Here is an 11638-nt window from a genome sequence, read left to right as displayed (position 1 = left end):
CAGGCAAGACTTGATTGGTTGGAGCACATGAAAGGGAATAGAGCCAGAAACCAGAAATTTGTGGTCTCACAGGGTTAGAAGGGCCAACTTCTAGAACCCAAACAGGAAGAAATAAGACTGAAAAAGATTCTAGAGATGAAGGCCCAATACAAATGTTCAATTAAACAAAGAGATTCAGGCCAAGGGAAAGTCCAGAGTAGAAATGTTTACTTCCTACGTAGGTCGATATCTTTAGATGCTCTCAGGGCAGCTGCCTTCAAAGGTACCTCTCATCAAGATGGGTGTGGAGGGAATGGATCCTGTGAGCAGTAGGGCTGCCTGTCTTCAAATTCACTGTGTAAACCTGGATGACAAAGAGTGCCAAGGAGGTGTGTCAGGCTAGAGACCAGAGGCTCTTCCTCTATTGGATTGCAGGAACCCCCTGAAGACTCTTCAACAAACCGAGAGCTGGGGTGAGCCCCCACCAAGACAGGAGGGAGATTAAATTTCCCTCTAATCTGGGTGTATATGAGGAGTCTGAGACAGATGAATTTGATTTGCCAAAAATGGAGAGAGAAGGCTGGGCGTGGTGGCTCATACCTGTAATTCCAGCACTTTGGGAGGCCAAGGTGGGTGGTTTCTCTGAGGTCAGGGGTTCGAGACTAGCCTGGCCAACACGGTGAAACCCCATCTCTACTAAAGATACAAAATGAGTCGGGCGTGGTGGCGCATGCCTGTACTCTCAGCTGCTTGGGAGGCTGAGGCAGGAGTATCACTTGAACCTGGGAGGCAGAGGTTGCAGTGAGACGAGATCGCACCACTGCACTCCAGCCTGGGCAATAAGAACAAAACTCCGTCTCAAAAAAAAAAAAAAAAAAAGAAAGAAAGAAAGAAAAAGGAAAGCGAGAGAGAAGCACAGTGCTCCTTACGCCCCAGGGCCATGGGACTTGCTCGTATCTGCAGTTAACACAGGAACAAGCACGGTACCAGAATTCCCCATCATCCAGAGCAGTGTGACACAGACGCTTCTGCTCAGCTGGACCAACAGAACGCCACTCCGGAGAACTAGGAGTAAACAAAATTGGTGTTCAGGCAGAGGTCATGATGAAGAGCAACAATGGCCTTGATGTGGAACCCACAGTGTGCGGTTATGGAGGAAATAAGACCTGCTTAGTAACTACTCACTGGGTCCCAAAAATGCACCCAGGGATGTAGCGGCAGGTGAGCCACTGGCCCCCAAATAAGAGGGCTGGTCAGAAAGTACATCTCCAAGTGTTGCTGATGGATAAAATACCCCTGAGGATGATCTGAACCACCGACATGGAAGATTATCTTGGGATAGTCACAAGGCATTGCATGCCCGTGGGGTAGCAGAAGAGCCCGGCTGGAAGCCACAAGTCTGCTGACTTTCGTGCTTGGCCTCCAACTTGCCATGTGACCTGGAGCAGTACTTGGCCCTTCCTTAATGGACAAGCTGACACTTGGAAAGGTGATAATGCCTTACACCTGCCCATGCTTGATGTTGTCTGTACCCGGCACCTTTTGTATGTGACCTCGCTGGCAAGCCAGGTGGGGTTCTGTGAGCTAGGTGTGCCCGTCCTGCAGATAAGAGGGCTCAGGTAGGCCCATGGAAACACTCTCAGGGAAGAGTAGGGGTAGGAATGGCTGCCTGTCACTCTCCAAACTCAGGATTTGTGACTCCAAGTTCATTGCATTTTCTGTGACTCCCACAGCCGCCTCCAAATAGTTCAAAGTAGGTCACCACTGTTGCGGTGCTACAGCCAACGTGGCAGCTCCCTCTCATCCTGTGATCTCAACTCAACCTCAGGGGAGTGCTCAGGTGATCCAAGGGGAGGATCAGCCGGGACCTGTCTCCAGGTGCTCGGGCCAGGGTCAGAAGAGTGGAACTGGCAGCCATTATTTTCTTTTGGAGCCATTATCCTAAGTGGCTCACACCCAGATAATTGGCCTGACAGGCTGGCCATGCGGTGCCTTCAACCCTACTCACATGTCACCAGCAGCACAGCGAAGTCAGGGAGTCGGGATGGCGCCTGCCCCTCCCATCACCCATGGAGGCTGCATGAGTGGAAGACAAATTTTATTCCAGCCTTGGCTCTCAGTCACTTTCTTGATTTCTACCTCTGTGAGTCCCAGAAAATGGGAGACAATGGCCCATTTTCCCTTTATAGGCTACGATCTCAAAGTTGAGGGGCACTGCACATCTTACAACGTGACGCAGTCTCACTAATTTTGGTTTCAGTAGTTCTCTGTGCTTTCCATTTCTGCCAGGAGAGGGAGGCCAATCTCTTTCCTCCTCAACCCATCTCAGCTCATCTCTGCCAATGCTTCTTGGTTCTCAGAAGGCGGCAGCCAAGGCCAGAGCAGAGGATGGTGGGACGAGAGCCTCCATGGGGACAATGACAGCCTGGAAAGCACAGGCCTGTGTGCCCTGCCCTCACGCTGGGGTCTGGCTAATACAGCAGCGGCTGCACCATGTCTGGCGACCTGGTAGCTGTGTCTGGACTGAAGACAAACACTGGCTCAGTTTTAACCAAGTTCTAGACTAGCTTCAGATTTCCCCAGAAGCTCAGGGGCCATGGATGTGGCAGGAAAGGGCTTCAGGAGCCCAACAAGCAGCGGACGAGCAACAGCTTCAGGCAGGCCCTGCCACGCACCCACACAAACATCCCTGGTTCTTAGTCACCTGGTCCACTTCCCAAGGGACCAGAGCTGGAGGAGCTGTGGGGACACACACAGAAAAGGCAGACCTTTCTTGATAACTGGGGGCCAAAACTCTGGTTAACAGCTCTGTAATAGATAAAATTCCAATTCCATGTCCTCTATTTTTTTTCCTTTAAAAAAAAAAAAAAAAAAGAGATGGGGTCAACATGCTCTGTTGCCCAGGCTGGAATGCAGTGGTGCAATCATAGCTCCCTGCAGCCTCAATCTCTCATACTCAAGTGATCCTCCCACCTCGGCTTGCTGACGTGTTGGAATTATAGGCATGAGCCACCATGCTCAGCCTCACTTCTATTTCTCTGCTGGGCTATTGGGCCTCTGCCATGGTCAGTGACCATCAGAGAGAATCCTATAGTTACATGCTAGGTAATATTTCAGGGATTCCGACACTCCAAATACACACACACACACAAACACACACGCACTTATGCATATGCACACTGCTTACTGGAGTTACTCACAACTACAGATAAAGCTTTTCACCATATCACTGGGTTATAAACATCACCATGGGAGGTAACACATTTATGTATTGACATAAATACAATTCGTGAAAGTTAGAGTGCTGTTGTAAAAGTCTTTCTTGAGAATCAACCTTGATGCAAGGTGGGCCTGAGGGCTGAAAGGGGAGGAAGAAGGGGCACCTCAGAATCGGGACAGGATCCTGAGTCAGAGCCCGGGAGGATAGTAGACAGGCCACTCCTTCACATGTCTGCACAAGCCAGCTCTGGCCCCACACGCCCCGGGAACCAGCCAGAGAGGCAGGATAGGGTGACTGACCTGTCGCTCCACGACCCGTTCCACTCAACCTGGCCCCAAGGGTTCCGGATTCGGATGAGCTCGATTCTCTGGCCTCGGAAGCTTACCTAGAAGGGAAAAGCATGAGGGAAGTGTGAAATGATAAATATGGTGGAGGTTTGGCCACATTCATCTATGAGCTCCAGGTGGACCAGCTCCATCCAGAACTGGTTCTGTTGAAAGTCTCTTGCCTAAAATGCTGCTGAAGGTATGTAGAAGTTCGCCAGTTCTTAACCAGCCCTTGGAACCTTCTAATTCCTATTGAATAATTGCTACTATTGCCAATGATATTATATTAAGCACCAAAATGCTTATGCCACATCTGGGAAGTAAAGTAGAATTGCAATTAACAAGAAATTAGTCCATATGAATCTAAAAATGGGTTTCTCTCTAGACTTGGATCTCCCTAGAGGCAGGAGCCAAGTCTTAGGCATCTTCAGCATCTAGCAGAGTGAATGGTAAAGAGTAGTCCTCAAAGGTGCTCATGGAACTATTACTGAACTTTCTTCATCCTAGCATCCCATGCACAGATGAATGATAAGAAAATAAGCACATGTTGGGGATTTAAACACAACAATAAACAAAAACAGCTTTTACGTCTTCTAGACCCAATATTCTCCTTATTTCAGGTGTCTGTGAGGATTCCTGCTGTTCACCTCAATCACCCTTGAGCCTGTGTGCCCTCAGGCTCTGCCTGGGAGCAGGGACAAGGGCCAATGCATTTGAGAAGGGTTTTAGAGGAGAGAGGGTGAAAGTAAAAGACTTCTAGTTATCAACTAACCAGAAACTGTAGCAGTCAGAATGTTTTATCCTCATGCATTTGGCATAAATTATATTTTGGATGTGTAAAAATTCAAGTAACATCAACTCTTCGGAGTCCAAGATGTGGCTTGTGGCTCACCATTAAAGGGGCTCATTTAATTTGAAAGGTTCAGGGCAGGTGAGTTCCTTGTAGGGGGGAGAGGAAGCAAAATCAAGCAAACCAAGATGATGAGAGGTTTCTGTTGTTACGTGGAATACGTAGAAGATCTAACCTAGAAACATCACATGCCTGCTTGAGTGAGCAATCTGCAAGTCATCTATGGATGGTGAAGGAGGACAAAGGAGCCAACACAAATAGCTAACATTCTAAAGAATCCCAAAGAGTCCAACGGCGTCTCACACCTTGGCTCCAGTGAGGAGGAAGGGCAGGGTCTCCCTTCAGTGTTCTTTACTCCCCACGCATTCAGAGGATGTCACTCAAAAGGTGGGTGGCTACAGAAGACCAGGTGCATCTGCACCTTCTAAGTACTGGGCTTGAGACTGGTCCAGGGAGGCATGGAGTGGGCAAGGCAGGCTGCTGGGCTTTGCTGAGCTTGAGTCTGGCAGAGTGATACCTTTGGCTTCTTGTCCTCCTCTTTCATTCAATTCTTTCTTTCTCTTCCCCTTGTGCCCCTCAAGGATCTCTCCTCCTAACCAACAGCTCCCTTGAAGTCAGGGTGGTGCTGTGTGGAGTCTGGGTGTCCCCCAGGATCAGTTCCACCCTGGGCTACAGCTACAAGAATGGGACTCGTGGTGATTAATTTTATGTGTCAACTTGACTGGGCCATGGGGTGCCCAGATATTTGCTTTAAGGTTATTCTGGTTGTGTCTGCAAGGGTGCTTCTGGGTGACATGAAATTTAAGTTGATTGAGTAAAACAGATTGCCCTCCCCAGTGTAGGTGGGCCTCATCTCATCTGTGAAGACCTGACCAGAACAAAAAGGCAGAGGAAGGGGGAATTCACTCTCTCTTCCTGGGTGCCTGAGCTGGGACATCCGTCTCTCCTGCCCTCAGACTGGGACTTTTACCATTGGTGTTCCTGGTGGCTAGGCCTTCCTTTCAGACTCAGACCAGAACTACACCACTGGCTTTCTTGGGCCTCCAGTTTGCAGAGAGCAGATCGTGGGACTTCTTACTCTTCACAATTGCATGAGCCAATGCCTTACAATAAATCGTATTACAGGTGATCCTGGAACAATGTCAGGGGTTGGGGTGCCAACCCTCCTGCATTGTCAAAAAATCTTGTATTCCCTAAAGCTGAACTCCGAATAGCCTACCATTGACCAGAAGTCTTATCGATAACGTAAAGAACCAATTAACATGTTTTATAATTATTTATATTATATACTGTATTCTTACAATAAATAAGCCAGAGAAAAGAAATGTTATCAAGAAAATCATAGGGAAGAGGAAATACATTTACTATTTATTAAGTGGAACTGGGTCATTGTAAAGGTCTTCATCCTTATTATCTTCATGTTGAGTAGGCTGAGAAGGAGGAGGAGGAGTTGGTCTTGCTGTCTCAGGGGTGGTAGAGATGGAAGAAAATCCCCATATAAGTTCAAGCCTGTGTTGCTCAAGGGTCAACTGTGTGATGTAGATAGATAGATAGATAGATAGATAGATAGATAGATAGATAGATAGATAGATAGATAGATAGATAGGTGTGTGTGTGTTTAATTGTATGTATATATATTTGGTTCCCTAGTGATTCTATTTCTCTGAAGAATCCTGACTAACACAGGACTGAAGGAGAATTGGGAAAGAAAGGAAATTAAAAATAAACAAAGACCAGGCGCTTACAGCTGCTAAACGAGTTTTGTGCTGCGGTGGAATCACATGGTTTCTCTCTTTCCTGGCTTGCCGTTTTGAATTCCAGCCTGCCTCTTTAGGTGACATAATCTCTGAAATGCCTGAAAGGCAGACATTTAAACTGCAATGCACTGAATAAATGCCTAAGGGATTAGCATTGTCACATGTCTCCCCATAGCCTGCAGTTGGAGTTCAAGTCGCCTACCTGGTCAATTCCCGTTACACTGTAGGCATGACCCTTAATAAGACCAAACGGCGTCCGGGCCTCAGATTCTGCAGCACTTCTGGTCTAAAACATGGAAAGAGCAGAGTCACACCCACCGTCTAAGTCAAGCCTCCCCTGCTGGATCAGACCCAGCTACATGCCTGGCCCGGTCACAACCTCCAGCCCCTTCTGCTGCCCCAGGTGCAGGCCATGTGCGTGGGCTATGCACGGGGCTCCCCTAGGATGTTTAGCAGTGACATGAAGCAAGTTCCAGTCTCTTCCCAGGATGGGGAGGCGCTCGCTTCCAGTGTGGACTCCAAAGAACAGTTCACTATTTTGTCCCCAAACAGAACAACTTGTCACCTTCATGTAGTATAGTGTGAGAGAGAAGACACAATCACATACATCCCAGAGACGAAAAGAAGAATATAACAACAGGACACACAGCTCTGCGTCACAAACCTGAAAGTGCAGAGGAACTGGCTAATTCATTAGCAAAAAACAGACCCCAAGGCTAATCTAAGAGGAAACAGAAAACTAGAATTGATTAAAAAAAATACATAGTGTCATAGCAGTCCATAAAAAACAACAAAAAGTTTTAAAAAGATGAGATAAAATTATAAGTGTGTGTGTTTGTATGCATAGAGAAAATTTTAAAAAATATCATTAGACTTCTATCTGCTATTTTTTTCATAGTACATGAAATGAAAAAAAAAAAACAAATTTCAGAAAACTAGATAGGAAGATCCCGTTTCAGTAAAATCAAACCAACTGACCTTGATGTTTGTGTGTGGAAGTGTGTGCCTGTTTGTACGAGCAGATAGAGAGCTGGGAAGGATACAGGCCAGGTGATCCCAGTCCCAGGGTGGAGCTGGAGAACAGAGGCAGCTGAGAAACGGGTGGGAGGGAGGTAAAAATGCGCCTGTATGGGCCTCAAGATTGTTCCATCTGATACAGCAAGTACATCTTACCTTTGTTATTTGACGACTATTAAATAAAAACTTGTGTTTTATTTGTTATTTATTTATTAGAGACAGGGTCTTGATCTGTCACCCAGCCTGGAGAGCAGTGACACGATCATAGTTCACTGCGGCCTCAAACTCCTGGGCTCAAGGGATCCTCCTGCCTCAGACTCCAGACACACACCACCATGCTTGGTTAAAACTTGTGTTTTATTTATTTATTTTTATTTTATTTTATTTTATTTTTTATTTATTTATTTATTTATTTATTTATTTATTTATTTATTTATTATACTTTAAGTTTTAGGGTACATGTGCACAACGTGCAGGTTTGTTACATATGTATACCTGTGCCATGTTGGTGTGCTGCACCCATTAACTAGTCATTTAGCACTAGGTATATCTCCTAATGCTATCCCTCCCACCTCCCCCCAAAACTTGTGTTTTAATTAGCAGGAATAAACACTGCCCCCAAGAGTTATGCCCCTCCTTGGGTGTGGCTGGGGTACCTGGTACAGCCCCAGCATAGTGCCTGGAATGCACTATGCAGCCCCAGCATAGTGCCTGGAATGGGAGCCCATGAGCAACTTACATCAATGAAGCAGCCCAGCAGGGAGCCTCTCTTCAAAGCCTTCTCTAGAATCTCATAGAAGTTCTCGGGGGCCTCTTTAGTTTGGAAGGTCTCTGCCACACCCCCAGTGAAGTCTTCCATGGCCTCGATGGCGCTGCCTCCCTTCAGAGCTTCATAGCTCCCATTTAGCCTGCAAGGGTGGCAAGAGAGAGAGGAGAGAGTCAGGGACCTAGGGAGGCCACTGGGGCACCCTGCTTTCAGAGCTTTTCTAACTAAGCCTGAAGCATCTCCCAGGGCTTGCCCTGGCTGGGTGGTGTGGAAGGAAGACGGGAAGCAAGTTATCAGGGTTTGTTTGGAGCTTCGAGGAAGCCAAAGATCCTGACCTTCCTGCAAGGGAGGCAGTGTGGTGTGGTGGTATAGAGCAGCAGCTCTGGTGCCTGAGTGGCCGCAGGTTCAAATCCTGGTTCTACGACTTACCATCTGAATGACCAAGTCGCTAGTGCCTTCATTTTCTTATATGCAAAATGGGGGAGAGAGTTGTGCTCTCCCTTCTAGGACTGCTGTGAGGTTCAAATCGTGTGTCTCACTCTCTAACCTCCCATGGAACGGGGCCTGGCTATGTGGATAGAGAGAGGCCCTTTCCCTTCTTCTCTGGTCTCACATACTCCTAACCATTTTTGTCATAGTCATCTCTTTTATTCATATGCATTTTACATATATGTGCTCTGCTTGATTTTTAAATAAGCTTTTCAATTTAGAATTTTAGAATCTGGTGGGAGGTGACTGAATTATGGAGGCGGGTCTTTCCTGCACTGTTCTTGTGATAGTGAATGAGTCTCATCAGATCTGATGGTTTTAAAAATGGGAATTTCCCTGCCCAAGCCCTCTTTGCCTGCCACCATCCATGTAAGATGTGACTTGCTCCTCCTTGTCTTCTGCCATTATTGTGAATCCTTCCCAGCCACGTGGAACTGTGAGTCCAATTGAATGTCTTTCTTTTGTAAATTGCCCAGTCTAGGGTATGTTTTTATCAGCAGTGTGAAAACAGACTTAATACAATAGCTTATTTGGGCTTCTTTAGTTTTTACCTAATGTCCTTTTTCTGTTCCAGAATCCCACCCAGGACCCCACACTGCACTGAGTCCTCACATATCCTTAGGCTTTTTGTGGCTGTGACAGTTTATAAGACTGTCCTTGTTTTTGATGACCTTGACGGTTTTGAGGAGTCCTGGGCAGGCATACTGCAGGATTAGAATTTGTCTAATGTTTTTTCTCCTGGTAAGACTAGGGCTATTAAAGAAATGATAAATGCTTGAGGTGATAAGTATCTCAATTACCCTGATTTGATCATCGCACATTGTGCGCTTGTAATCAGAATATCAAATGTGCCCCATCAATATGTATACTATTATGCACTATTATGCATCCATAAAAATAAAAAATGAAACATTTTTTAAAAATTAAAAAAATAGCTGGGTGTGGTGGTTGGTGCCTGTAATCCCAGCATTTCGGGAGGCTGAGGCAGGAGAATCACTTGAGCCCAGGAGTTGCAGGCTGCAGTGAGCTATTACGGTGCCACTGCACTCTAGTCTGGGTGAGAGAGCAAGACCCTGTCTCCAAAAAAAAGTAAATAATAATAAAAAAAAGAGTGGGGCTATTGGTTAGTGGAAGGAAGACCGGAGAGGTAAAGCTCCCCTCTCATCTCATGATATCAAGAGTACCTGCCGTCCACATGCCTTACCACAGCTGATGCTGGCCTTGATCACCTGGCTAAGGTAGTGTTAGTCAGGTGTCTCCACTGGAAAGTTGCTCCTTCTCTCCCCTTTCCATGCTGAACTCTTTGGAAGGAATCATTATGTGAAGGCCGCATGAAAAAATCAGGGAGTTATACTCCACCTCCTCAAGGATGGAATATAAACATAATTTATTTGGAATTATTCTACACAGGATATATGTTCCTTCTTCCACATTTATTTATACAATCATTTATTCAAATTAGTATGAACCCATTGATATTTATTTTCTACTTGGGTTTATTTTGTGTTTTTTTGTTTTGTTTTGTTTTTGTTTTTGAGATGGAGTCTTGCTCTGTTGCCCAGGCTGGAGTGCAGTGGCATGATCTCGGCTTACTGCAACCTCTACCTCCTGGGTTCAAGTGGTTCTGCTGCCTTAGCCTCCCGAGTAGTTGGGATTACAAGCATGCACCACCATGCCTGGCTAATTTGTGTATTTTTAGTAGAGACTGAGTTTCATCATGTTGGCCAGGCTGGTCTCGAACTCCTGACCTCAGGTGATCCACCTACTTCGGCCTCCCAAAGTGCTGGGATTACAGGTGTGAGTCACTGCACCCAGCTTCTACTTGGGTTCATAATCCAGTACTGCTTTGTCTATTTCGTTGGTTGAATTCTTCTAGCTTTGGCTGTTTGGAGCTCCTTCAGTATGCTCTTGTGCCCTTTTGGCATAACCTCATTTGTGTGTGTGTGTGTGTGTGTGTGTGTGTGTGTGTGTGTGTGTGTGTCTTGCATGTGTTCTCATTTTCTGGCACTATAAGATGATCTAGGTTCATTTTATGTATGTATGTATATATGTATGTGTATATATATGTATGTATGTGTGTATGCCCCAGTCCTAGAATCAGCCTTATCTCCAAGAAGCCCCAGTTCCTTTGATTGAAGAATGATCTTAGAAACCAAGACTTGAGACATAGGTGTGCTTGTTGCTACAGGATTGTCATTGCTTCTAGTTCCTCTCACTGACAAAGCAAGGAAATACATATGTGTATGATAACCCAAGTATAGATCAATATATATGTGTATGATAACCCATGTACAGATCCATGTATCTCTACATAACCATCTCTGTTAAGCTAAATCTAAGTTCATTCTGGAATCTCCAACTCTAATCTGCATGGATCATTCTGGCCTCCTCCCCTTGCCTATCTGTAACCTCTCAATCCAACAGTGAGAAACTCGGCTCCCGCCATCCACCATCCGTTCACTCGATTGTTCAGCTCAATATACATGTATAATTAGATCAATTTTTCATTTGTACTCCTACAAGAAACAATTTTAGCAACTAGAGCATAGCACTCACGTACAGTTTCTTTTGCCTTTAATCTTACAGACTCCACTGATTTCCAAAGTTACTTAGGTCAGCACCTTTCTCTCCAACCCCTTCAATGAGGTTATTTCATACGTTTGAAATTGGCTCTCATAGTTACGGACGCCAAGAAATCTCACAATCTGCCATTTGCAAACTGGAGAACCAGGAAAGCTGGTGGTATCATTCAGTTTGAGTCCAAAGGCCTGAGAATTGGGGGGTTGATGATGTAAGTCCAAGTTTGAGTCCAAAGGTTTGAGAACGAGGAGCTCCAATGTCCAAGAGCAGGGGAATATGGATGTCCCAGTTCAAGTAGGGAAAGGGAATTCACCCTTCCTTTGTCATTTTCTTTTATTTGGATCTTTAGCAAACTGAATAATGCTCGTCCACATTGGTGGCAGCAATCCTCTTTACTCAGTCTACTGATTCAAAAGCTATTTTCTCCAGAAACACTCTCACAGACACACCCAGAAATAATGCTTCACCAGCTATCTGGGCATCCCTTGGCCCAATCAAGTTGACACATAAAACTAACCATAACACCATCTATACAGTTTTTTTTTGGTGAGCTGTTCTGCCAACCATTTTTGGCCTTTTTAAGTGACCCCAATAAATCTTTTTTATGTTTAGAAACTAGATGGCACACAGTTTCTGTTGCCTTGCTTGCATCCT

The 11638-nt window shown here is 45.6% G+C and overlaps 1 protein-coding gene across 12 annotated transcripts in view; it reads right to left on the bottom strand.

The window, feature by feature from the left end:
• Positions 1 to 11638, bottom strand: part of CAPN9 (calpain 9) — a 54602-nt gene that overhangs the window by 26392 nt on the left and 16572 nt on the right. For 7 of the 12 annotated variants that reach the window (XR_949127.2, NM_006615.3, XM_011544017.2 and 4 more), the window contains 4 exons: positions 7889 to 8057; positions 6335 to 6418; positions 3499 to 3584; positions 967 to 1044 (listed from right to left, as the gene is read on the bottom strand). Coding sequence is in view for 9 of the 12 variants with exons in the window: in NM_006615.3 (NP_006606.1) it covers positions 967 to 1044; positions 3499 to 3584; positions 6335 to 6418; positions 7889 to 8057 (417 nt within the window). In the remaining 3 variants the exon portion in view is untranslated. Of the gene's footprint in view, positions 1 to 210; positions 627 to 966; positions 1045 to 3498; positions 3585 to 6334; positions 6419 to 7888; positions 8058 to 11638 lie in introns of those variants that run through there. The other 5 variants (NM_016452.3, XM_011544018.2, XM_017000098.2 and 2 more) reach the window with 4 other exon arrangements.

This window comes from Homo sapiens, chromosome 1 (genome assembly GCF_000001405.40).
Source record: "Homo sapiens chromosome 1, GRCh38.p14 Primary Assembly".
In the NCBI taxonomy this organism is placed as follows: Eukaryota; Metazoa; Chordata; class Mammalia; order Primates; family Hominidae; genus Homo; species Homo sapiens.
This window is presented reverse-complemented; position numbering and strand designations above follow the sequence as displayed.